The following is a 26,949-nucleotide window of genomic DNA, read 5'->3' as shown; positions in this document are numbered from 1 at the left end:
CCGCTGAAGCCAGTGGATTTCCAGCTCCCTCCCCGCCCCCACTACCCCACCCCCAGCTGGAGCAGCCCTTCTCAGCATCCCAGAACTGGTGTTCCAGGGATGGGAGGAGAGCCATTTCTCCCTCACCACCAGCATTTTCCACGAGGGAAGCCTGTGAAATGACTCTTCCTCCCAAGCCGAGTCGCATTACCATGGAAAAGGACAAACACAATAGGATCCTGTTCTGTGTCCAAACTGGCCGCTCACAGGAGATCTTAGGCACAGCTTCAGTCAGGTTTAACAAACGCTCAGGTTTGCGATGACACAGGACCACATTGCTCTCACTTTGTAGCAAATAAGGTTGACTTTTTCAGCTCCTCTTCCCCTAGCACATTTCCTTATCTCCACAAAAGTTCCTGACACCCGGAGAAAAGGAGAGAGAAACAGAAAGGGAACTGGGCCGGGCGCGGTGGCTCACGCCTGTAATCCCAGCACTGTGGGAGGCCGAGGCGGGCGGATCACGAGGTCAGGAGATCGAGACCATCCTGGCTAACACGGTGAAACCCCGTCTCTACTAAAAATACAAAAAAAATTAGCCGGGTGCGGTGGCACATGCCTGTAGTCCCAGCTACAGCTACTTGGGAGGCTGAGGCAGGAGAACGGCGTGAAGCCAGGAGGTGGAGTTTGCAGTGAGCCGAGATCGCGCCACTGCACTCCAGCCTGGGCAATAGAGCGGGACTCCGTCTCAAAAAAAAAAAAAAAAAAAAAAAATGAAAGGGAACTGAATGTAAAATGAAAAGTATAGGATAAGTCTAGTCACACTGTTTGAGGATTACGTAAGTGATGGGGACAAGATTAATGATACCAATTTCTACTCCTGCGAAAAAAGGACCACCAGGTAACTTACCTTATCACAGAACAGCACTGTGGGTCCTGGGATCCGTTGGGACCCAGAGGTCAAAACCTCACAGACCCATTAAACAGGAGACTTCCAGAAAGTTGCATTTCAGCACCAGCTGCCATTGGACGAAGGTTCTTATTTTCACATCACGGGGACTGAAACATTGCCACTCCTTGAATTTTCCAGAAATAGTACATAAAACACAAACTTGTCCCCTCCCTCATAAAAGTTCCTTAACTAATCTTCCCATGATTCATGGCAGTGTCACAGTTTCAGTGTCCTTTCCCTCTTGGTTCTGGGAATGAGAGTGCTTTGCAACATTGCCTGCCATGTACAAGAATGCACCTGATTGTCTTTTAGGAATTTCAAGCAGCCCTCTCTCTGCTCCTTGTACCAAATCCTCAATAGTACCTTAGTGCACTCGAAAGCACACCAAGGGTGAGGCTGAACAAAGGCACAAAAGCAGTGTCCTTACAACAACCTGGCCTCCACCTGCCTGTGCCATCAAAAGGGCTTCTCAGGCATCAGGGTACTCACGAAAGAGAGAGAAGAGTTGGAGCTTACATGTAGATGTCTAATATGACAACCTCCCAAAGATAAATTTCCACAAAACATAATATTCATACAAAATCTGATACTTGTGTGTCAGGCAGAAAGATTTTCCTTTGGGCACCTGTTGGTGAGAGGATTCTAGAATTCTTAGTCTTCAGTTCTCTTTCAGCTGAGAAGTGTTCTTTCTCCAAAGTTCAATAAAGAGGAAGCCTTCAAAAGGAGCTTCTGGGCCCTGCTCTATGCAGGTAAAATGCTTCATACCATCACCAAGAAAGGGATGATTGTGTTGTTTAATTGTATTAAAAATCACTGTTCTGGGCTGGGTGCTGTGGCTCATGCCTGTAATCCTAGCACTTTGGGAGGCCGAGGTGGGCAGATCACAAGGTCAGGAGATCGAGACCATCCTGGCTAACACGGTGAAACCCCGTCTCTACTAAAAATATAAAAAATTAGCCAGGCGTGGTGGCGGGCGCCTGTAGTCCCAGCTACAGCTACTTGGGAGGCTGAGGCAGGAGAATGGCATGAACCCAGGAGGCGGAGCTTGCAGTGAGCTGAGATTGTGCCACTGCACTCCAGCCTGGAGGACAGAGCGAGACTCCGTCTCAAAAAAGAAACAATCACTGTTCTGCTATTGAAAGCAGCATTGACCTCACTTTTATATATACATACGTGTCTGTATGTGTTTGTATGTGTATGTATATATATTTGTATATATGTATATGCATATTTTTAACCAAAAACCACCCCTAACTTCTCCATTTCTCCCCATTTTCTAGTATTCAGCTGAGCTATCTTGTGGCAGCAAACACGCTCCACATCCTATGAGATTAGGAAGTATTGAAATATTCTCCTGAATCTGTTTTCCTATTTCTATTTAGCTTATCGATTGACTATTATTAAGTTTGTAGTCTGGTTCACTTCAGGGCCTCAGTGTTTAAGCATAATTATTTTCATGGTTTGTAATATTATAATATTGACAATACTGATATGTCCTGGAGGACTGTAGGTTTACCAGTTAAACCGAGTGATTGAACAATTTCTAAGTCAGTTAGTAAGATTTCCTTCCAGAGGAATATTTTGTCAAATTTACATATATAGGCCAGACAGGTTTCAGAAGATCCTAATTTTCAAGAGAGTCTGTGATGAGCACACCTCAGGGCTCCCTAATTGATCCCCATGCCAGGAAACCCTGCCTGGAAATGAACCAGGAAAGTAGCTGAGGTTTGCCATAGATGTGACTTAATTCCAGCACAGCAGACCCCACAAAGCGGAGAGCCAAAGATTCAGCATCTCACAGAATGAATGAGAAAGAATGGAAGCCCTCAGTGAGGAACGCATGTCAGCTACAAACTGTGTACACATGCAAGATGAACTTGTGAACACATGTCTAACTTGGCATATCTATAAAGATTGTGTATTTATAACATGCTCCTGAAACATCTTACCGAAATGAACAAATGACTTTGATTTAAAATTAGGCTTTAAAGAATTAAAAAAAAAAAAACTTTTCCAGTACTATCTACCAAAAAAGCAACGGTAGCTTCCTGGAAACAGTATTCTCCACACACTAAAGCCTCCACACACTAAAGCCTGTATATCTGAATGGTGCCTCCAAAAGCAACCTTTTCTCTTCCTCCTTGCCTTGAAACAATTGAAGCAGCTGGGAGCTGGAGCTCCACTTTATTAGTGATTTAAAACACACCCTTGGAAACTGGCTGGCCTTTTTTTTTTTTTTTTTTTTTTTGTCAATCCAGGTGGGAAGCGTGCTCCCTCAAATGGGAACAACACTTAACAAAGTTCTCAAACAGATAATGCCTTAAGAGCTAGACTTCAAAAAAATCTTCTACCAGCCATCTAGCCGACAAAAGCAATGGTAACCTGGTAGGAATACTAAGCCCTCCATAGAAAGACACAGATAAAATAATTCAGCCGCCAAGATTTGGCATCTTTAAAAATGCCTTTTCAATCTTTAACTTTTGTCTGCTTGGTCGTCTAGCAACCAAGTGCCGAAAAGAGACTCCACCCAAAACAAAGTGAAACAATACAGACACTTAACTTCATGAGTATGTATGCGTGCACGTGTGTGTGTGTGTGTGTGTGTGTGTTAGATTCTCAACATGCAAAGATAGCAACTCATTTTGAGACAATTAAAACAGAAAAAGTCTCAATTGTAGATATCAGGAAAGGAAGTCAGGAGTGAGTAAAAAGCAATGAGAAAATGTGTAATGCAGGATGAGGGTATAGTTTCCACACACCGGGCTAAAGCAAGGTTTACACTCTTAAGCAATAAAAACAAACCATTAAGCTAGGCCCAGCACTGTCAGGAAGTATAAAACAGTTCTTGAAACTTTGCAGTTACTATACAAAAGCTTTTCATAAACTGTGTTTCCTGATCTTCATTAAATGTTAACATCAAGTTGCCATGGGGCAATTAGCTTGCCTCCTGAAATCAATAAAAAATCAACAATTTGGAAATAGTTGTACAGTAAAATAGTTCAATAATTATTCTCTCATAGTGTTGTGGCCAAGCGGTTCCAGTGTAAATGCAGTCCAGATGAGATCCTGCTCCTTATGAGGGAGGCTTTAAGCAGATCGGTGGTTTGCTTAGAGACCTCCTCATCAGAATGGACTGCAACAATAATGTACTTCTGGCAATGCCTTGGAGTGGGGCCCAGGACATGGGGCAAACGCAAGCTTTTAAGTGGTGTTAAAGTCAGTGTCTTGCTTAGTACTGCTTAAGCACCTCAGAGGGACTCAATGCGAAATTCAGAGACCTACGCAAAATGAGAAACTCAGTAAAACAGAAGAAGGTGCCCTATGCTTGGCATTTGGACTCCAGATAGGAACAAATCATTACATATGTACATATACATTCACAGACACATACACACACATATATGCATATATGTACGTATGTACACACAACAAGGGGTGTATTTGAGATTAGGAATCCATTCATCCCAGCATGTCTTCAACAAATATTCAAATCTGAATTACTTGTGAGAAATCTTCCAAGTGCTTCTTAAAATAAAATAAGGCTGCTACACAGAAGAGCCTCACAGGACATTTTACTTTACAAAGAGGTGCTGTCACCAAGCAAAGGCAGAAAGTTATTTCTTTGCTGACTCCCTTTCTCAGAAGGAAATCAATTCCCGCTGTTTTTTCTAGCCTGAGCCCATGTTAAACACCTTATTTGAAGCCAACTGCAGCATTGAAAATTCCAATATCCATTAAATCAAACCTCAAATACCAGCTTTGGAAGCTTTATACCACCCTGCAGGCTCAATGGTGTTGAACAGTGAACTGTCTTAGAACTTAAAAAAAAATCAAGCATCATATTTAGTATAAACAAATGCTTCAAATGTATGACATCTATTTGCTGCCTTCAAAGGGAAAACTTTAAACTCAGACGCTTGGCACTAAGATCACACAGGATCAGCTCAGTGGACTGACTTAAGTGTTAAAGTTTTTTAAAGTACGTTTTTAAGGGCTTGCACCTGCTCCCCATCCACATAGATGTACTGACACGTATTTGACTAAACTGACTACATACATGCCCAAGCAAGCAAGCAGAGCAGATTTTACAAGATAAGCAACCAAGTGTTTTCATGTCTGAGGGTGGCTAGAACACAAAATTGCCAGTCATCTTGTGGGGGGAAAATGCCTTTGAAAAAAAAAAAAATGTAGGGCATCATTTCAGATACGGTGAAAAGTATTAAGATGCCATCCTGTATACGGGTTTGGTTTCTGTTTTTTTTTTTTTTTCCTTTAAGTACTGCTGCTTAGAGAGGGGCCTAAACTTGGTCCAACTTCTGCAGTGACGGCGAAGCTATTCATTATAGCCTTGGTACTCAATCTGTGGTCCTTTGGCCTGTAAGGGCTTCACCTCGGAGCTTGTTAGAAATGCAGGATCTCAGGCCCCACCCAGACTCACTGAAACAGAATCTCTAATAGAACATGATTCCCGGGGGTCTGTATACACGTTAAAGTTTTATTCTCCTTACAGAATTCCTGGTAATTCGGATGCACATTAAAATTAAAGTTTTATTTAGAGCATTGGTCCCCTAAGTTAGGTAGAAGTTTACTTTGAAGTTTGCAAGCCAGGGAAATGGTCAGAAAATTCTGCCCTGGAGAATACCAAAAGGCTGTAATTTATGTCAGCAGGGTGGAGGAAAGAGGAAAAGCAATTTACCCAAGCTGAGCAGACCTGCATCTTATCCCCCATTTCACCCTACCCGTTCCCTGCACAAAAATAAATAAATAAATAAATAAATAAATATAAAACAGAAGAGAAATGGCGCCAGGACATTCTTAACTTTTCTTGGATTATGAATCTATGCCACAATTACTATAGGCTTTAATTGCTCTTGACTGCAAGGCTATGTTCCTTTTGCCTTAGAACAGATAAGGAGGCTGTGGCACGTAAACATTCGGTGAATCTTAACATTAATATGCCAGTAGCATAGAAATATGCTATTTTTGAAAGCCCTTTGAATTGTGCACATGATTTTCCCTCTCCAGTAATAAATTGAGGGAAAAAATATGGATTGCTTAGGTAATGTAGTGATTATACAGCTTGTTATATAGATCAGGTTTACAGATCATCTCTCCATTCTTGACCTCTTAAGGTACAATTTAAAGCTGCGATTTAAGTAGAAATTATGAAAAGATGGAAGCACAGATAGATCTGTAAGCTGCCCACACTCTCTTTTCCTAATTTTTGAAGGCAAATAATGAACATGGTAACCCGGACGTGCCATACAGGTTAAAACCATGCCAGAGGGGCACATGCAGTCGAGACAAGCACAAAAACAGATGATCAGTTTAACCGATTTTGAAAGGCGGGCCCCTGAAAATTCAGAAATGACTATGTGTGGACTTTTTAAAGCCAACTCTGAAATGATTCCAAGGATCCTATAGAATAGTGAGTGCAATTAAAGACATTCAGTGTTATGTTCATTTTGACTCTTTATTCCTCGGAATGAAGACTGTGAGCTAAAATGTCTGTAACAATGTAGGATGTTTGTAAAAATATTGTTTCTCATGTGAGCTTCCAAGAGGGTCAGAGTGTCTGATTATAAAATCTCTGAAACTAAACTGAAAATGCCAGCATCTATACATATGTACTACATATTACATACATCTTTAGATGTATATTTATGTATTTTATGTTTTATATATTAAATACGCATATGCAAGATAACACATTTTAGTCGACACCATTGAAAACAGTTTTAACCAAGAATATTAGAACCAATGAAGCAGAGAAATCAAAAGGGTGGATGGAACTGCCAAAGGATGAAATTCTTGTGCTATACTCTCATGCTCTCATCTAGAGAATGTGAATATGAGAAAACATGGGTCATTCGTTTTAACATGTTAAGACCGTGCAGTCTGTCCTTCATGTCCATGGCAATAGAGGGTGAAGAACAGCTGGAGAACAAACAAGACCCCAATCCCCTCAGTTGGGTATGATCTAATGGTTCTCACCTAATCAAGAACAATAGAACTAGAGATAAAAAGGAGCTGCAAGATTTTAAAAGTTAACCAGCATTAGTAAAAGATAACTGTCATGCACATTTAAAGATAAGGTTTACATAACCTCATAACCTCCGAACTGTAACTAAGCTCATAGTCATCAAAAGTTAATTCCTAGGAAGAATTTGATTATAACAGTCTGTTCCATTATAAACACACTGTTTTTTAGCCAATTCCAAGGAGATTAGAGGTAGGTTTCACCAATCATGCATGGCAGGATCAGAGGGGATGCAAAGTCCTGGAAACTGACCTAAAATACTGCCAGTAAAATAGTGGGTAGTTGTGGGTGCCCTGCTCTTATGAACATCTGCTGAACCCTTCCTTGGTCTGATTCTAACCCAGGGTACAGAAGCCCTGACACTCTGGTAAGTGTTCAATCTGAGCAGCCTAATTTGACTTCATTCTGTTTGGGCGTCAGTCCAACTGGCAGATGTTCTTATAGAAGCTGATCTCCGACACTTTCCCTTTCTAATTTTCTGGCACCGTTGCCTCTGTTGCATGGGCTATTATCTCTGAAACTTTATCTCGGGTTATCCAGGTTTTGCTTGTTTTGTAGGCTTTAGTTTTCCCTTAAATCTTTCTGCCCCAAAGAAGTTCATTTGAAAAATACTAAATCACTGGTAACACCTTTAGTGCAAATATGACTTATCAAATAACTTGCCTGCAATTTTCCAGCCATTCATTACCTTTCCCCCACCCCCTCTAAAATATATAACTTCAGAAACAAAAATGCAAACACAAGGTCATCATTGTAAGCGCTATACAAATGCACCATTTTCTCTTACAGGTTGGACTTTATAGAATGAAATGCCAGAGATTTGATATTTATTATCTGAAATAGGTTTAACATTTGGAGAAATGTGTTCAAACACACAACCTTGGAAAGAAAAGCAAGCTGATAGGTCAGAGAACAGAGGGTGGGCAGAAAACACGATGTGCATAATTTTGCTGCGTGTTGGGCAAAAAGTTAGAAAACTGGGTTCTTTGGAGAATAAAGAGCTCTCAGATGAGGTAAAGGTAAAACACAAATAAATTTCCAACCCTTGATGAGGGCCACGAGATATCAATTTTAAATATATATGACCACAATATCAATAATGAAGAAATCTTACGTTTTATTGAATACTTTGGCCAGATCAGCCCCTTTGAAGGGATCACTAATTTAGGAAAGAAGAACAACAAACCATCATTCACTTTCCTGCAGGTTCATCGTTTTCCTAATTATTTCTATGGATCCTGCTTTATTCTTTCTGTAAATTAAGGGGCAGGAGGAGAGTTTCTATAATAGATCAGCAATGTCTGGTTCTTATCCAAATATTCCACCTAATAAGGATGTAAATTCTCATGGATTGGACAATCACTCTGCAACATTCCTGAGAATTGAATAATATAATAATCTTGAAAGTCAGCAGAGTGGATTATCCACTTTTTTTTTCTGGACTTGAACTTGTGAACTCAACAGTAGCACTGCAAAAAAGCAAACGTGCTAAGCACTTTGCCAGAGTAACCTTCCATGTAGACTTTTCATCTTAAATACACACAACTGAAAACAACTACAATTTTTGGAAAATTATGTACAAACCCGATACTTCTTTTGATTACATATAAATACAAATTAGCTATTTTTTTCCTAAAAAGTGGTTATAATAGTAAATAAATACAAAATAAATCTGACCATTATACTTCATGTGCTGGGGTTGAACCCATATAAAATGTACAACTAAATACATTTTAAATCTTTAAGGAATAATTCTCTGATTAAAATATTTGTTTTCCCAACTTCTTTTCGTAGATATAAATATATTTTCAAAATAGCTGTTTTTTTTTCCATTCCATTCCATAAATAAAGTCTTCATTGGGAAATATTAAAGTGTCAACTGGGGTGGGGTTTTTTTGTTTGTTTGTTTTTTTCTTTTTTCTAAAATATATATATATATATATATTTATGTATTTAATTTTGCTGTACTAGCGACACCCACAACCCTCCACAACCATGTCCTGATAGTTCTTTAATACAACCTTTTCATTCTCGTCAAGGTACAGCATCGAGATAGCACTGAGTTCTGTCGGGACACAGCATGCCTTAGGAATCTTAGAGTTAACAGAGTTGACCAACGTCTGAACAATGGCATGATTAGTGGAGTTCAGATGATCAGCCAGAGGAAAAGGGCATTCTCCGTGGCAGTAAAAGGCGTGATACCCCGGGGGAGCCACAATCCAGTCATTCCACCCCACGTCACTGAAGTCCACGTACAAAGGGTGTCTCTTACAGCTGGACTTAAGGCGTTTCCGCTGTTTGTGTTTGGCTTGACGTTTTTCTCTTTTGTGGAGAGGATGCCCTTTTCCATCATGGCCAAAAGTTACTAGCAATGGCCTTATCTGTGACCAGCTGTGTTCATCTTGGTGCAAAGACCTGCTTATCCTAACATGTCTCTTGGAGACACCTTGTTTCTCCTCCAAGTGGGCCACTTCCACCACGAATCCATGGTTGGCGTGTCCCTGTGCAGTCCACCGCATCACAGCGGGGGTGACATCAAAACTTTCCCACCTGCTTGCATTCTGATTCACCAACCTGGTGTCCAAAAGTCTGGTCACGGGGAATTTCGAGTTGGCTGTTGCAGGTTTTATGATTTCATAAATATTAATTCGGTGATGGAAACTGCTATTGTTTCCTAAAGCATCTTGCATCTGTTCTCGGAAAACCTGAAGCTCTGCTGAGGTGATAAACTCCTCCGTGGGGATAGAACTTAAATTAAAGAAGAATCTCCGGGTTGTTTTCCCACTCGTTTCTGGTAGTTCTTCCAAAGATTCTAATTTGATAGAGAAAAACAGGGAAGAAAAAAGAAAAGTCTGAATTTCAGTAAGCCAAGTAATGACGTTTGATTATCTATGAGAATTTTTAAACCTCATCGTGGGATTTGATGTAACCCATGTAAAAGTAGGTAACCAGAAAATAAAAATTTCCTCTTTAAATAAACATGGAGCCTCCCTTCTCTCTGTTCTGTAAGTTCATGTCATCATGCATTGCATACCAGGAAACAACCTTTCATAATTCTTTGTTGTGTTTTTGATCTAATACATGAATACTGCTTCCAGGTGGCTATAATAATGGGGGAAATGGTGAAGCATTTCTTTGGAATTCCAGACTTTAGGGTAAAAAAAAAAAAAAGTCAGCACTATAGTTAGTAGAGGTCTAATGAGTGAGGATTTGAGGAAATTATTGCATTTCTTTTTTAAAAAAGGCTTTAATGCCAATCCCTTAAGCAGTATTCTAAAACATTACTCTGCAATTTAGATGATTTACAAATCTCGATATACAGATTTCAGCTTCCTAATTAAAGACTCTGAAACTCAACATCAACGATGACATTTTGCAAAGCACACCCTACTATTTTACTCAAAAGTCCAGAGACAAAGGCATTTACAGGGATCTACTTCTTTGGAAACGTATGGGTGGTACTAGGACACTGTAGTAATTAAGGCCAAACAATTTCAAGAGAAATAGCTTTCCCAACTGTTGTCTGTTCTCTCACCTCTTTATGACCTCAAATATCAAAATCTCATTTTAGATGCTTTTGGAAGAAAAATAAATGACCTGTCTTCTGTTTGCAATGCCTTTATAGTTTTGAAAGATAAACCATGTTAAAAAACCATGTACCTACCCAGTAATAGTGTGCAGGATGGACACAAAACCAAAAAAATAATAAAAATTTACAAAAATATGATTATGATCTCCATGACAAAAGGAACAGTCTCATCCTATTACAGAATAATCCTTCTATATCCACTATCATTATTTCAAAATAGCCATTTAAGTGGGCCATGCACAAAAGCTTTGTCTGATTTAAAATTTCTGAATTTCAATTTTTAAGAAGTATTATTCTCCAAGCAAGTAATATATAACACAGCACCTTGAATGCTTGTAGTCTGCAAATCATCAAAGGTACAACATTATTATTAAACTGGTAGTATATACCATGAGAGTTTGAGACATTTAAGTTTATTTTATTCTAACTTTACCACATCCTATCATTTCACTGCCAACAGAATTTGCCTGCTTCATTCAGAATTCCTACCCAAGTGCTAACAAAATCTATTTTGCCATCGTTCCATGTTATCATAAGAAGAGACTATGTTTTTATTAATTTTACAGTTGTATTTCCCCTAAAGACAAACAGCTGTAAGTTGTGCACTGAATCTAGATGCCTTAGCAAAGGAGAATCATGTCAGATCACTCACTCAAAGGATCTACCCGTGTAAGCCTTCATCATCAAAGCAACAGTCATCATGCAAGCTAAGTGGACACACCAAGTTCAGTCAGGGCAGTTTATACCAAACTAACGCTTTAATGCAGTGCTTTTCAAACTTCAGCCTTCACATAAAACAGCTTGTACACCGTAAAGCTTCAGATGCAGGCTCTGATTCAGTAGGTCTGGGGAGATGCTTGAGATTCAGCATTTCTAGCAGCTCCTCAAGGAGGGGATTCTGGGAACTGTAAGACCACACTTGGAGTGTCAAGGTTTTGCAGCATGTTTTTCATATTCCAGTATAGATTGCCAGGAGTGCATTTTTAAAGTGCCTTTTTGTTAAATAATATAAAAACTAGTAGAAGAACCATTAGTGGTGGCAAAGGAGTAAGAGTTGAATGGGCCAGCTCTGGGTGGGCCCAGCCAGGGTCTCAGAACAGAAGGTTCTTCTAAAGCTCTTCTACGTGGATATGGGGAGTATCAGGCCAATAGAGTCCTTTAGGGTTCCCTTGTGCCTATTAATCCAAACCTCTGGGGAATACCTTTCAGGATCCATCCACATTCTAAACTCCACTGGAAGCTAATGGTACTTTAGGCCAGACACAATCATTAAAATAACCTTCTGACCATTTGAACCTGGACTCTTCTCAGTGGCTCCCAAGGAGTACCAAGGACTGTGTTTGGCCTGTTTTTTTCTCCTTCTCCTTGCAATTCAGACGTTTCTGCTGAAGGTAATTTTTCAGCAGAGAAGGTAAAAGTCAGCAACCTCAGACCCCAATGACACCAAAGCCAGACCAGCACCTGAGCTACTGGCTTATCTGATAAGAATACATCTAAGAACACCCTCTTTTCTTTCAAAGAGGGGGAGGCAAGGAAAATTATCTAGAGCACTCGCTGACTAGCTATATTAACAAAAGTGCCCAGAGAAATCACAATTGCAAGAAAAACCCTAAATCCCAATGCATAAAGAAACATACATTCTCACACATTCTCTCTCTCGCACACACGTACACACCCACATGGCCAGACGATGACAGTGAAGGGACAAGCTACAAGTCAAGTATGAGGGACAGGTAAATGAAGTAAAGAAGATGGGTATAAAAAAGGTATGAAATAGAATAATAACCTCCCAAAAAATTAAATGACAAGATTGAATCATACAAAATTGCCACTATTTGACCAGAAACACAGACAACAACAATTTCATGTGGTTCAAGGTCTCAGTGGAAGTAGGCAGCCTTAGCAAAGGAGAATCAGTTAGTGGCCTTAAGAAAGGAGAAAAAATAGACGAGCAAATAATAATAGGCGATACGAAGATCTTTCTCTGACCTTCCCACTGCACCTCAGTGAATCTGTTTCTTGAAAGGTCCCATCCTCAAGACAAAAGCATCCATTGCAACACCCCTGGTTGCAGAAACAGGTCACAGAGGTAAGTTAGACGTTCACAGAAACCCTCAAACCCAGGAAAGTAACTGGCCAAGGTTAGGGAATATACGCTCATTTTCTTTAATCTGCCAGGGAAGAGTACGAATCTTTTCTTAAGGGTACAAAAATTAAAACCTATTTGAAATAAAGTAAATTAAATAAACAAACCTTCTATAAATCATCACAGCAACCCTGAGGATGCCAAAAATATATGGATCCTCAAGTAATGTATGCTTTTTTGGAGACTTATACAATTGCTAGTTTTCTGTAAATATCCCTTCCTGAATAAGCTGAAGTTCTTAAGGGATTTGAGGATTTCGACCTGTCTTTGACCCGAGTTTGTGAGCTTCTAAGTTCTTAACCAAATGGATGGAGCTATGGCTGCAAAAATGTGGGAAAGTGAAGAAAAATAAGACAACAATGATATCTGAACTTTTCTCCAAAAGTGAAGTCCTAATTTAATAATCTATACTATATCAATCATTCCTCTACCTCAAAATAATTCAAAAGACTGAGCTGAATTCTCTCAGTCAGCCTAGGTCCACTCTGGCCTCCTTTTCCCTAGAGAAGGAAAGGCTATAACATTAACAAAAGAAGTCATAATGATAATGACAGCTGAATGCTTTTTTTGAGTGTAATCTGGCACCATCAGCTTTATATGAATTATCTCACAACAAACCAATTAGAGAAAAACTATCATTATCTCCATTTTGTAAATGAAACAGTTGCAGTTCAGAGAGGTTATGTAACTTTCCTAAGGTCACAGAGCTAGCAAATTAAAAGTAGATATATATAATTGAATCTACTGCGCTTCTCAGGTTTCTTGTCTTTTGTTTTGTTTTGTTTCTTGTTTTTGTGACACAGGGTCTCACTCTGTTGCCCAGGCTGGAGTGCAGTGGCACAATCTTGGCTCACAGCAGCCTCCACCTCCCAGGTTCAAGCAGTCCTCCCATCTCAGCCTCCCAATTAGCTCGGATTACAGGCATGGGCCATCATACCTGGCTATTTTTTTATATTTTAGTAGAGATGTGGTTTCACCATGTTGGCCAGGCTGGTCTGGAACTCCTGACCTCAAGTGATCCACCCACCTAAGCCTCCCAAAGTGCTGGGATTACAGGTATTAGCCATCATGCCCAGCCAGTTCCCAAATTTCTGGCTACTAGATGGCACTACCTAACATACATGAGGACTCAAAAACTTAAGCAAAAGTCAAAACCATTAGGGGCACATTTATATTTAGTACAATGATAACATTGGGTGAGTTCTGTCCCAACTAAATGAACAGAAATATATGACTTAGGTATGATGGACAGAACAGACAGAAATGAGCAGAAAAGTGACGGGGCCCACTGGAATGTGTCTATTTTATAAGGAGCCACTGCTATTTTGTGGCTGCCCTTTTGTTCTAAATAAAGTATGGTAAGTTTTATCAAAAAAGTAAGTTACCGTTATGCTTCGAGGATTTTAAAACACACTTTGGGCTAAAAAATCTCCAGTAAAACAACAACAACAACAACAAAACCTGGGGATATGCTGGCAATCAGTAAGGCTGGAAGTCACTGCCCTAACACAAAATGAAAGAGGCTGAGTATAATATAAGATTTTCCAGATAATAAAATAACAGACAACTGATCAAGGAGAAAAAAAATATCAAATACAAAAGGTTAAAAACATTCCATTTTAAAAAAAATACAACAAGGGAATGGCAAATAAAGGAATAGAGAGCATGGTTGTCATCAACAACCCTGATTTGGCCTCTGCCCACCCTTAACACCAACACCTTCGGAATGATGAAATATTCTCTTATTGTCTCAGTGAAAATACACAAAGAGCAAGTCTAAGAACGCAAAATAGTTCACTGCAAAGGGATTAAGAGAAATTTAGGGGAACCACTAAAAAACAGGTGGAACGGAAAATGTCAGTGCCAAGGAAGTATCACTGGACACCAAAGCCTCAATCTCAACAACCATTTCCAAATAGAGTAATTTTCCTACTTAATGTGGCCTCTGTAATGACAATGAAATACCTGGGGCCACTAGGGAACCATACCAGGTAAGTATTGGTTTTGGTGGATCTATGTGTCCAAATCTGTTGTTTGCACGGGGGAATTTGTGCCACAAAGTCTCTAATGCAGGGCAATAGTTATTTCTTGAACTTTTCTATTATATGGATATTTTCATAATAATTATATTTGTGGAAAGAGGGTTAATCTCTATTTGAAAGCTTCAGTCACAGAGGCAAATAATCCAGTTATTTCATGTAGAAAGAAGACTGTGTCCTTCAGAGTGAGGAGAACAAGAAGCACCTGGTCTTTCTCTCTCCCATCTGACAAAAAAGCATAAAGACTTTTTGGAGGGCCAGTGAAGTCAACCAGTTTCAATGTGTTTCCAACTACAGCAATACACAAAACACTCTTTCCACTTGCAGAACTGACTTTTCTATGTTCAATGGCAGTTTCCAAAGGTCTATGTAGCTGAAGCACTTTTTAATGATCTTGAAAACAATAACATTTTAGCAAAGCTGATATTCTCCCAAATAAAAGCCACTGGAGAAAGGACTAGACAAAATTCAATAGGAAAAATACAACTGATAATTCTGTCTCAGATCCCCTATGATATGGTCGCATTATACTCATATTGGTTGAAAGAATGCTATCATGATATCTCGTCGAGTAATTCCACCAAACCATTCGATCACACCTACAAAGAAAACCCAACAGGTAATTCTTATGATTGGGTCTTTATGGTCTTTTTTCAAATAAATGCTCATTAATGCTGTAGAAACTAAATTCTGTTCTTGAGCCAGCAACCTTCATCACATGGTTTACCAAAAACTTTTTTCGTGGCATGCATGGCACAAGGATGTTTATCAAAAGCAAATCCTGGGTGTATACAACAATGATTAGTCTTGAAAAAAGTGCTATATCCATCCAGATTAAGGATGATATATTAGTCATAATGAGACAAGAAATGGATTAGTTGAAATTTGGGGCAAAATTACATAGCTTTTCTCCATTATCTAACTGCATTAAGACCTGAAGTTATTACAAGTTGATTTTAATCAAGTTGGTCACTTCTGTACTGTTTCTCAGGTAACATTTACACTCACAAAGATATAAATTCTGATTTTATAAACTCAAGCATGCTTTTTAAGTTAAAATAACACAGTTGAATAACGTGTAGCCTGTTTAGTTCTGATCAAACCACTTCTAGATGAATGATGAGAATATGCAGACATCACTGATAAAATCCTCACACAATGGAATGTTTTAGGTGTTAACTAACTTAAATGATCTTCCTTTTAAGTTGTAACAGAGACACAGCATCTTCCAGGCCTTAAAAATAAAGTTGAGAGCTTCCATGCTAAATTTCCAGAAGAGGTGTCTAAAACAGTTGTTCTTATTACATTCCTATACAAAAAAAAAAGTATTCTAATCAGCATTACCTGGGAATGATTAGCTGGATCTATAATCATTTCAGGGTTAAGATGGCAGAATGTACACATACACACAAATTTTACATATGACAACAGGTGATTTCTGCTTTCATTGGATGAATTCTGAAAGAGTGGAGTGAGATCTTACTGCCTTTCAAATCTGATTTCTGCTAGCAGAGAGCACCTCACTTAGAAATGTGCTTGTAAATGAACTGATGATCAATTCAGTGTCCCCGTCGTAATGTGTAGCTGCCTCAATGAGAACGTATCTTCTGCTATGTGGCTTGCCTTTGGGACTTATTCCCATTACCAACAAATACTCTCACAAGTATAAGTCACCCTTCACACTGGGAGAAAACATCTGGAAGTGCCATTTCCCATTAGTCTATTATCAGTGTAAATTTCCCACTTGAAATTTACCACCTAAGCAGGGAAAGGCAAGAAAGAGAACTTCACTCCCAACTCCCCAAATATCTGCCAAGTGGTTGCTCTGTGATATACACTTTTGTACTCTTTTCTAGGAATTGAAGAAACCCATGCTCTATTTTAAATGTATTAAGCCAAAGAAGCATTTAAAAGTGTAGAAAAAGAATTGAAGTGGAACATATTTTTGACTAATTGCTCTAAGAACTTAGGTACAGCAGACCTCAATAGCTGCTGTAAGACATTTCCAGTCCACTAAATGCCCTTCTGATGAAACAAGCAGAAATATCCCACCTTAGAAAAACCACATGTAGTATCATAAAAGAAAAAAAAATCCACATTTCGGTGCACATGAAAAAAAAACAGGCAGCTGCTACAAACGCTTTTATCTGAAGGCTTGCCTTGTCTCTACTCAGAGCCTATCTCAGATTTAAGCACAGGACAAGAAAGTCATTGTGGAAACAATAAGATTGATTGTAGTATTGATCTCCCACGGGGATTAGATTGGGATTCAAAATCTTCCAAACCAGGCCCAGATCAACTATAAATTAGAAAGACTTTGGGGCCCTGGGCTTTGATTTTTCAATACTATCTCTGAAAACTCTGCCCTTGGCTCTGTCTACCCTAAAACCCTGGCTTAAGCGGCAGATTTATAGAGCAAAAGCTTCCAAACAGACTTAAAGAAATCTCAATCTGCCTCCCTTTTTCTCCTTTTCCCTCTGTGGAATTCTTGCACGTTTAGCTGACTAGAGGCATGCCTTTTGCCCTCATCTTCCCCATCACTTGATTTCTCTCCAATTCTTCCAGGAGGAGTAGCTCTTCTGGCTGCAAGCCAGGAAGAGGGTGCGGAGTTACTAAAGGGGAATCCCTGGCTCCCCCACCACACAAGCAGTGAGTTAAAATCAGATTCAGAAACGATAGTACAGAAGCAAGAGTGGAAACGTCCGCTGGTGCCCCGGCCAAGCTGCCTCTACAGGGACGGCTGCAGTCTGCCCACGGTGGAGGGCTTTGCAGGGTGACTCCCCGCCCCCACGCCCTGCTCCATGCCTCACCTTCATGGTGGAAGCTGCGCACAGTGTTGGCTCGGCTGGCTGCCCTCTCCAACCGGTGGTCTGGGGCGGGTGAGCCCGGCTGACCTGAGTGCCTGCGATACAGGTCTAGCATGTAGGGGGGCACCACGGCGTCCCTGCTGGGGGTGGGTCTCTGTTTCAGGCCGAACATGCTGAGCAGCCGCAACTCGAACTCGCTCAGGACCTCGTCAGAGGGCTGGGATGAGGGGCGGCCCGACGACGCCGCCGCGAACTTCCTGCGGCCCAGCTCCGGAACGAGGCCAGCCGCGCCGCCCAGGAGGACCTGGGGAAGCAGCAACGCTAGAAGACAGCGGGTCCCGGCCACCATGGTCGACCTGCGGACAGGACCGACGTGAGTCACCCGAGTTCCCCGCCCAGTCCTCCCCCCTCGCGCCCCCGCGGCCCGGTCTCCCATTTGGCTGGCGTGCCTCCTCCAGGATGCCCTCCTGGCTTGGCACACTCACGAGTCTAGGTAAGACCGACCGAAGCTCAAACGTTTGGGATAATGAAGGGTCCCAAGTTCCTGAACCAGATGATTTATCGCTCCCATCCAACGCTTAGCTCGTCTGACATCAGATTTGGGATTTGCCCTCCCCCCCAACCAAACCAGCGCCAATGACTGTCACTTTTTTGTGTGTGACACAGCGCTGACAGCCAATGCCGGGAACCTGGGAAAACCACCGCTTGATCTGACACCCTGCGTCCCCTATACAAACCCAAATGCGGAGTGCTGAGCGCTGTCTGGCATATAAACACACATAAATGGTGCATGTGACTTCCTTAGAGGCACTGTATAGAACTTCCTGACACACACACACACACACACACACACACACACACACCCTTATAGCTTCCAGACCCTGTAAGCTCAAGGCCACAACTTCTGAAGCCACTTATGACTTGTGTCCCAGGCCCCTACCCTCAGGGGTGTCTCGAAAGGCAGCTCCATCCCGCATCCCCACAGTGCAGTCAAGATACACATGTATCTTCCCGGGATTACGTAAATGGTGAATATCTATTAATGCACGTGTCAGCTGTTAAAAACACAGTACCAAGTGATCCTTCAGTACTGACCCCTCGCATTTCTGGAAACAAGTAGGGAGAACCCCAAACTCCTAGTACTTTCCTAAATGGGACACGGCTCTGAGCAAAGAAACCAAGTCTCCCGGAAACACTTGAAGAATGGAGATCACCATGGCAGAGCGGACAGGTTCTCAGCTAACGGGTGAAACCCAGGGGCTACCCTCTCAAAGGGATTTCTTTGACCCAAAAAAGTTTTTAAAAAAATTAAAAATAAATAAATAAATAAATAAAACACCTCATCTAAGTGTTAACAGCTCCAAAAGTATTCCAGGGAGAGGGGAAGAAAGAGGGGTGGAAGAGTGCGGGCCGGGAGGGTGAGGCTTACGGTCGCCCGGGGCAGCTGGAAGTGGGAGCCCCTGCAGGGCTCCGTTGCACGTGGACTGGAGAGGGGTCTGTTTACTTCTGGCCTGGACGTAAGGAAGGGCTCTACCGCAGTGGCTGCCCAAATCCCCCTCCCACCCACCACCCACCCCGGGCCCTGGCCCGCGTCCTCTACCTTTAGGAGACCGCAGTCCGTCTAAGAAGCACGCGGGGACACGTCCATTGAAAGAGCGTCCACATGGAAAAACTCTGGTCAAAGGACCTGGCGCAAGGACCGAATGTCCGTTCCTTTTCTTTGCCTCCTCCTTCTCCCGGGTGCCGGCCGCGCAGTCTCTCTTTTCACGCTGGGAACAGCGTCTCAGTGTCGGGCAAGGCCGAGGAGTGGAGGGGCGGTGGGGCTCGGAGATGGCGAAGCAGGCTCCGCTGGGGCAAAGGCACCGGCGCAAAGTGGGGTGCGCAAGTTATTCTCCCTGCAAGTTCAAGAAGTCCCCAGCCAAGTGCTGACACACAACAACAGCGAGCAGGGGGAGGAGTGCGGGGCAGGGAAGGGAAGGGAGAAAGGAGAAGCTGGTGCTGTCGTCCTCCTTAGGAACCAGCGCCCGAGGGACGCGTGGCCCCGCGCGGGGCCGGCTCCGGGACTCGGGGGTCGAGGGTCGGGCGCTCCGCGCTAGCTCCGCCGCGGCCCATGGCTCGGGGCAGCCATCCTGGGCGACGCCGGGTCCAGGGAAGGGCACGGCGGCGATCTCGGTGCCAGGCGAGTTGCCCCCCCGCATCACTCTGCCTTACTCCAGTGCACCCCCATTCGCGCTCGCCAGTTGAAAGCACCGCGGCTCTGGCGCCCCGTCGTCCTCGGGCGCATTCTCCGGCGAGTCGAGCCGAGTCCCGGGCCGCCGAGGCGGGTGGCTGTGCTCTCCCCTCGCTCTCCTAGCCCTGGGGCCAAGTGCCCTTTGTGGCTAGCCTGGGGTCCGATCACACCTCGGCCAGCGCGTCCCAGGCCCCCGATCTCCTGCAGTAGGTGCTCCGCATCGCGGCGCTAGGGATCGGCTCCGGAGTCCCCGGCGCTCTGCGCGCCCGTCCGCGGCTCTGGCGCAGCCCGGGCAGCAGAGGCCACGGCGCTGTGGCGCGCTCTGCCGGGTGCTCCAGCCCGCGCGGGGTCTGCGGCGCGCGGGTGCCTCGCGGTCCCCGGTGATCCACTCGGCGCTGGCCCCGAGAACGTTCGGGTAGCCGGCGGAGGCTGTGGCGGCAGATGTGCGGCGGCGGCTGCCAGTCCCCGGCGGGGTGTGGGAAGCGGAGCGACTAGCGCAGCGCGAGCCGGGCGCAGCGCGGCGGGGCGAGGACTCCGGCGGCGGCGACGGCGGCGGCGGCGCCGTGGCGCGGCGCTCGCGGCTTTTAAAGGGGACGCCGCCTGCCGGCTCCCTCCCGGCCGCGGCCGAACACCTCCCCCTTCGCGGCGCGGCTCGCCGGGGATCCCCGAGCGGGCGGGAGCTGCGCGCAGGGGTGTGGACGGCGCGCCCGGGCAGCCGCGGCGGGGTGGGGCGGAGGGCGGGGGCGCGCGGCCGCCAAGGGGGGCGCTCGCGCCTCCACTCCCTGCTCTCAAAGGAGAGATCAGCTGGCGCGCCGGACCCTCGCGGGGACTCTGGAGGCGAAATCCAGGACAAATGCAGGGTCAGGGTCTGGCCTCTTATTTCCCCGCTGGGCCCGTTATTCAACTTTCAGTTTGAAGTTTTTCGGTAATATACGATTTCAAAAAACAAAACAAAACAAAACACCTCAATTACAGCGTATTTTGGCATAGCATAGACGTGGGATCCACGCTTCTGTTTCCCCGGAATAGGAGGAAAATTAAAAGAAAACAGCAGGCTGGAAATTGAGTGTTTTTAAACATTAATACATAGAGATGTATGTATTTACATATGTAAATGCATGTGTACAAATTTTTTTACATAAATGTGTATGCATTTATTTTCATATCCATACGCATGTAAATTTATAGTTACATAAATATATCCAATATACAAAAATATGTGCATATATTTCTATAAATATATTCATGTATGAGAATATATGCAACCGAAGGGCCACATTTCGGTTAATATGTCTATGTATGTGACATGGATGTCATCCTGCTTTACGTGACATGTGTGTAACGTAGACTGCGTGTGTGGCAGACTGAAGGATGGATGGGAGGGATTTGATTTTTTTATTGTACAATCACTTTGTGCCTTGTGATATTTATCTCACCCAGCTCAGAGGCAGGCGATTAGCAGCTCAGAGGAAGGTAAAATAACGCACTGTGTGAACCAAGCATACAGGACAATTCCAGTTTGGGACCTTGGAACCTTCTACGCCACCCTCTTCCACCAGGCCCCCAAGAAGTAGGGCTGTGACACGTGGCCAAGTCACTCCTCAGCTGAATATTCACTGAAGTCACTCCTCAGCCGAAATACTGCTCAGAGCTGCTGCACGATGAGTCTGGGGCCAAGGCTTTCTGCCCTTCCCAGGATTCCAGGAGCCCCCATGCACAGCACCTCGGGCTTGCCCAAATGATCCCCAAAACCAAGGGCAGAAAATTTTTGGAAAAGGCCAAGTTCTGCTTTCCCAGAGCTATCGGGCCTGCGAAACAGAGAGAAAAAAGTCAGAAGCAGGAGCTGGTAATAGAACTATTATCCATGTGTATTATTTTTTCGGTAGGGGAGCTAAAATAATACTAGGTTCCGCTCACGTAAATCGGATTAGCAACCCACAGAGGCGAATTAGGCACTTGCTGTTTCTAAAGGTATAAAGGTCAAATAAGGTATTTTGGAGGAAGCCTGACTACCAGGAAAATAAAAGGGGGTGGGGGAATTATTCAGGAACATGCTACTTTATTTCCTGAAAAAAAAAAAAAAGGTGCTATAGAAGTTGATTGTCACTCAGAGTCATTGCACCGCAAACAAGGAGGCAATAAAACATATCCTACTCATGGACACAGGGCTTCTGAAATTATTTCCTTTCCTATCAAGTTTAATTGAGAAGTTAACAATTGTTTCTCTCATTACTTAGATTTCAAAAACAAAACAAAACAAAACTTCAATGAGATTTAAGTAGCTTTTAAAGAGGAGGAAAAGTTGATAACTATTGGATGCACCCGAAGAAAAAATAAATAAATATCCTGTGATGACCTCAAGGATGTCTTGCAGCTTTAGAACTTCATAACCTGGTAAGTGGAAACCTTGTCAGTTTAGAATCTGAGGGAAAATGGGTACTTCTGAACACTGTTTCATGTTAGTGCTGCCCATTGCAGAATCTCTTTTATGTAGGGTGTATGATTTCTGAGGAACTACTGAATGCTTGTTCCAAGCACAACTTACATAAATTTTGGCCCTATTTTTTTTTTTTTAGAGATGGCTGCCCTCTTGTGGTGGAAATGAGTTCGAACGCTTGAAAGAAAGAAGTCCATAAATAAATAAATAAATAAATAAGTAGTCTCCAGAGACTGATTTGGGATCGAAGTACAGGATGACTGTACCTACCCGTTTTCCAGGGAAGAGCAATAGTCAGAAATGATAAATCTAAATACAGACGAGCTATTTCTTTTTTTTTTCTCTCTCTTCACTAATGGCTACCTTCCACCTGCAACTTAGAATGCTGGGTTATTTAATACTTTGGGAGAGTGTCTGTTTGCCTTGAAAATATCACTTGCAGCTAACCATTGTCAATTCTACCGTTTTCAAAGGTCCATTCAAAGTTTTTCAGTTCAGAGGGTGAGATTCAGTCTTGCTGAGTTTATCAGACTTAGTGCATCTGCCAGCAAATGTGGAAGGGGCAGAGGTGGGAGTGGGGAGTTGTTTAAGATAGGGATAGTAGAAGTTGCAAATTCAAATGCATCAGAGGGTACAGACAAGTTATGTAAAAAAGCAAAGATGACCAGATAATGATTCCACATAAAGGAGGTTGTTGCTATTCCATTTCAGTCATCTCTTGGCAGTTTCTCAGGAGATAGTGGAAATTTGCATTTGATTGTGTGTGGACAAGACTCGGGATGAAATTAACTGCTTACAGTCATACTTTAGCAATTTTAGCACTTCAGCTCACATGATATTCCATTTTATTGCATTCTGTAGCTATTAGCATTCAGTATTGTTCTTGCTAGGCCAAACATTATGCAAATCAACATTAAAATAGTGATCCCCATGTATTGTAAAGTTCACAGCAGGCATTACGTGATCCATCTACCTTGTAATTGTCATTCCATGGAAACCTGTGGCAACTGCCCTGAGAAACCCTCTTTGCTTTTTAGCATACATATCGCTTTGTTACAAGGGTGACACCCATAACCATCCCTACTTACTTTACCTGGATGAAGTTTTTTTTACAGGAACTTGGAGCCAAGGCAAAAGAGAAGCATTTAGTCAATCAAATGTTTTCCTTTTTGGTGTTTGATTAGACATGGTAGAAAGGATGGGAGAGGTGGAGTGATTTATATCAGAAACTAGGCCAAGTTGGCCAAATCAGGATCACTGCTTTCAGCAAGTACCAACTACATCTTCTTAAAAATTAAAAAGAATGAATTTTGTGCATTGATTAGACTGTCACACAGTTTAAGATGTACACCTTAAGTTATGTCTGTAAACTATGTTGATAACACTCTAAGATGTAGTTGGGTGACCTGGGTTCTAATTCCTGGTTCTGTCATGGATGACTGACTTTAAAATGGTCATTTCATCTGTTAATTGGGGTAAATAAATATATGTTTGCTTGCTTCAGACTGACATGATGAAGGTCAAATGGATAACATGTGTGAACTTAGTTTCTGATTGCTACTCACTCTATGTATCTTCAAATGTATTCTTTGGCCTTCTGTCTGCAATATGGCCTGGTTTTAAGAAATAGGACTTTGGATGCCTTTCTTCTCCTCCTCTTTCTCCTCCTTCTCCTTCTCTTCTCCCAGCTTTTATTATATTGCCAAACAGTGGATATTTCATCAGAAAGGCCACCAGTTGGGTCAGTCAATCTAAAGCAGAGGTCCCCAACCATTTTGGCACCAGGGACCAGTTTTGTGGAGGAAAATTTTTCTACAGACCAGGTTGGGGGTGATGGTTTCAGGATGAAACGGTTCCACGTCAGATCGTCAGGCATTAGTTAGGTTCTCATAAGGAGCATGCAACCTAGATCCCTCATACATGCAGTTCACAGTAGGGTTTGAGCTCCTATGAGAATCTAATGCTGCTGCTGATCTGACAGGAGGCAGAGCTCAGGCAGTAATGCTCCCTCACCTGCCCCTGGGGGTTCCTAACAGGCCATGGACAAGTACTATTCATGGCCCGGGGGTTGGGGACCTCTGATCTATGGCAGTAACAAATTCTCATAGCCTCGGCTCCCTCATGAATACTCTATAGAGACTAACAGTTGACTTCTCATGGAGGTTGTGAAGAATAAATGAGAAGATATGTGTGAAGACAACAAAAGGTTGCAAATTTGTATTACTATATACATGCAAATTAAGGCCATCGGTTCTGGTTCTCGAAAGATGTGAGTTTATCTTATGTGATTTTCTTTTGCACTTGGTAGATTTCAAAAATATGGGTTGAATGAGCACATGCTTCTGGAAAATGATTATAGTCTTCAAAATAAGACTCCCCTGAGAAGCCTGTTGGCTTTTTAGCATGAGTAACACTTTGTTACTAGTGCAACACCCAATACCGGTTCTGATTACTTTACCTCCATGAAATTCTTTCATGGGAACCCCGGGAGCCACAGCAAAAGAGCAGCATTTAGTCATTCAAATGTTTACCTATTTTGCATTTGATTAGACATAATAGGAAGGATGAGTGGAGTGGGGTAATTTATATGCAAAGCCTAAGCCAGGCCAAATTGGCCAAGTACGATTGTTTTAAATATCCACTACATATTATTTAATTATCATATACTAATACATTTGCATACCTTGTCAATGATATTAAAATGTTTTGACTTTCTGTTAAATAGACTGTGAAGAGTCAACTATAGTATTTCCTTTTACATACAGTCTACAAATATTTATTGAGCAACTACAAAGCCCACGGCACTATGTTATTGGGCTCCAGTTAATACAAAAGTACATAATCTCTGCACATAATTTACTTAGAATTCAATGGAAGAAATGCAACATGTTTACGGGTAAATACATATAAAATATATGGCATATGAGATAAGAACTTTAAGGGAGTTGAGAAACAATTGCTTCAGGTTTAATGAAGAGCAACTCACTTCTGAAATGTGGAACAAAAACCTTGCTCAGTGAATGTCACTACCCTTATTTTACAGGTGAAGAAACTGTGCTTGGAAAGGTTAAGTCATTTTTCCAAAGCCACATGGCTAGCAAATGGCATAGCTTACACTAGACTCATGTTTTGGGAGTTTGGGGCTTTTTTCCCCACTATGCTTATGGTCTCTCAATTCTATACAGTGGTAACAACTCAAAGCCAAGACATCATGTGAAAAAAATGTAGGATGTTGTTTTGAGGAGTACAAAGAGGTAGTTCAAATTTGGAGGTGGGGTTGGATAGGGATAAGACTATACTAGAAATTAAGACTATTCTTTAGACTGAGCCCCAGTAGGGAAATGATGGCATATTCTAAAGGGGCAGTTGAAAAGAGTTGAACAAAGGAACATTGTACAAAACTGTGGGCAGAATTGAGAGAAAGTGGTAAGGGATCATGATGTATTGTGGCCCTACATTGGGTAGGCAAACCAGGAACGCAGAAGGGATAGTTGCTAGAGCCCAGAGAAAGCCACAGCTGAAGGCAAGCCATTGACAGAAGCTGGGGAGCTGGCGGGGCAAATAAATATCTCAACCTTTCTTTTCTCTTACTCTCTGAACATCTGTGGACATCTCTCATTGGCCTAATTTGACCAGAAGAGCAAGTGTATTAGTTACCTATTGCTGTGTAATAAATGACCATAAACTTTGTGGCTTGAAGCCCATTTTATTACCTTGGAGTTTTGTGGGTCAGGAATGCAGAAAGAACTTAGTTCTCTTCTCAGGGTCTTCTAAGTCTGTAATCAGTTTTGACAGGGGCTGCAGTTTCATATAAGCCTCAGGGTTCTCTTCCATGCTCTGGTGGTTGTTGGCAGAATTCACTTCCTTGCAGCTGTAGAACTCATTCCTGGTTGCTCTTTTCATCAAAGCCAGCAGGAGACTGTCTTTCTGACTACTAGACACTACTTTTAAAAAGTCACATAATTATATTAAGCCTACCCAGGATAACCTGTCTTTTGATTAACTCGAAGTCAACTGATTAGGAATCTTAATTACATCTGCAAAAATTCCTTCACTGTTACCTTATAACATAACCCAATAAGAGGGGTAACATTTCATAATATTCATAGATACTTCTCATACTCAAGAGGAGGGGAGTATTCAGAGCTTGCACACCAAATGCTCAGACTCTCGGTCTCTGCAGCCTATAGAAGTCGGCCTCTCAGGCACGGAGGAAGAAAAAGAGTAGATCTCCTTATGTTGTGGATCTCTGGGTACAAAAACAATATCCAACCTCATAAGATTTGAAAAGTGGCAGACTACAGGATCTTAGGACTCTTGCCTCCTACTCCAAAGTGAAATGTTTTTACTAAAGGAATGGCATGTTGGAGATGCAAGTTACAAAAACAGATCTCACATTTGGTAGAGAGTAATAGCGCACTGTAGAAAGTACAGTGAGAGACTGTAGGTAGTAGAACCAGTTCCTAGCTTTTGTAACTATGCACAGAAGTGGTAACGGGGGTCTAATGTCCATATGAAAAATAAGCCAAAGTGAAAGCTATAATGGAGATGGGATGTGCAGGTTGTGCCTTGTGGATGGGTAGGAGAGTTTTGCAGAGGGAAAGAACCAACAGTATCTGTAGGGTTTGGAGCCCAGGTGAAAAAAACAAAAACAAAAACAAAAACTAGTGGAGCCCTTAACATGGGGGAGTATGAGCAAAAGCCTGACAAGAGACTCAGGGATGATTCTTTCT

General features: G+C 42.4%; 1 protein-coding gene and 1 long non-coding RNA gene across 3 annotated transcripts, besides 9 other annotated features; one reads left to right on the top strand and one right to left on the bottom strand.

Annotated features, from left to right (window-relative positions):
• Positions 7,779 to 20,339, bottom strand: BMP2 (bone morphogenetic protein 2). Its single transcript, NM_001200.4, has 3 exons — positions 19,150 to 20,339; positions 17,553 to 17,905; positions 7,779 to 9,780 (listed from the first exon to the last, which is right to left on the bottom strand). Exons 2-3 carry the CDS (start codon positions 17,896 to 17,898, stop codon positions 8,936 to 8,938), a joined length of 1,191 nt encoding a protein of 396 aa, NP_001191.1. The 5' UTR covers positions 17,899 to 17,905; positions 19,150 to 20,339; the 3' UTR covers positions 7,779 to 8,935.
• Positions 19,285 to 20,444: a promoter, noted in NCBI's record as "BamHI/SmaI fragment for -1143 promoter". NCBI's record gives the evidence for it as "EXISTENCE:reporter gene assay evidence [ECO:0000049][PMID:10024520]".
• Positions 19,285 to 24,163: a promoter, noted in NCBI's record as "SacI/SmaI fragment for 4.9 kb promoter". NCBI's record gives the evidence for it as "EXISTENCE:reporter gene assay evidence [ECO:0000049][PMID:10024520]".
• Positions 19,660 to 19,834: a transcriptional cis regulatory region, noted in NCBI's record as "+494 to +675". NCBI's record gives its function as "negative regulation of promoter activity; may block response to an enhancer" and the evidence as "EXISTENCE:reporter gene assay evidence [ECO:0000049][PMID:20060812]".
• Positions 19,834 to 20,475: a promoter, noted in NCBI's record as "construct E; -147 to +494". NCBI's record gives the evidence for it as "EXISTENCE:reporter gene assay evidence [ECO:0000049][PMID:20060812]".
• Positions 20,206 to 20,255: a silencer, noted in NCBI's record as "silent region_12665". NCBI's record gives its function as "represses an Ori minimal core promoter by ATAC-STARR-seq in GM12878 lymphoblastoid cells {active_cell/tissue: GM12878}" and the evidence as "EXISTENCE:reporter gene assay evidence [ECO:0000049][PMID:35858748]".
• Positions 20,346 to 20,395: a silencer, noted in NCBI's record as "silent region_12664". NCBI's record gives its function as "represses an Ori minimal core promoter by ATAC-STARR-seq in GM12878 lymphoblastoid cells {active_cell/tissue: GM12878}" and the evidence as "EXISTENCE:reporter gene assay evidence [ECO:0000049][PMID:35858748]".
• Positions 20,475 to 20,574: a transcriptional cis regulatory region, noted in NCBI's record as "-246 to -147". NCBI's record gives its function as "negative regulation of promoter activity" and the evidence as "EXISTENCE:reporter gene assay evidence [ECO:0000049][PMID:20060812]".
• On the top strand, positions 20,541 to 22,432 carry LOC105372517 (uncharacterized). Of its 2 annotated transcripts, XR_937229.2 has the most exons (4): positions 20,541 to 20,704; positions 21,220 to 21,625; positions 22,017 to 22,173; positions 22,356 to 22,432. It is a non-coding gene; the product is annotated as an uncharacterized LOC105372517 (long non-coding RNA). The 2 variants fall into 2 exon arrangements; XR_937228.2 differs by having other exon boundaries at positions 21,220 to 22,173.
• Positions 20,581 to 21,371: a transcriptional cis regulatory region, noted in NCBI's record as "MscI/PvuII fragment". NCBI's record gives its function as "negative regulation of promoter activity" and the evidence as "EXISTENCE:reporter gene assay evidence [ECO:0000049][PMID:10024520]".
• Positions 22,366 to 22,386: a protein binding site, noted in NCBI's record as "CBE; Cbfa1 binding element". NCBI's record gives the evidence for it as "EXISTENCE:protein binding evidence [ECO:0000024][PMID:11054542]".

The sequence above is a fragment of the Homo sapiens genome, chromosome 20 (genome assembly GCF_000001405.40).
Source record: "Homo sapiens chromosome 20, GRCh38.p14 Primary Assembly".
NCBI lineage: Eukaryota > Metazoa > Chordata > Mammalia > Primates > Hominidae > Homo > Homo sapiens.
Note: the sequence above shows the minus strand (reverse complement) of the source record. Positions and strands in the feature narration are given on the sequence as shown.

What these genes read in the sequence shown, in the direction of transcription:
- BMP2 (NM_001200.4), bottom strand. Translation starts at nt 17,898, where the DNA reads ATGGTGGCCGGGACCCGCTGTCTTCTAGCGTTGCTGCTTCCCCAGGTC. An exon ending in GCGCAGCTTCCACCATGAAG is followed by an intron (nt 9,781 to 17,552) that starts GTGAGGCATGGA and finishes CTATCAAATTAG; the next exon opens with AATCTTTGGAAGAACTACCA.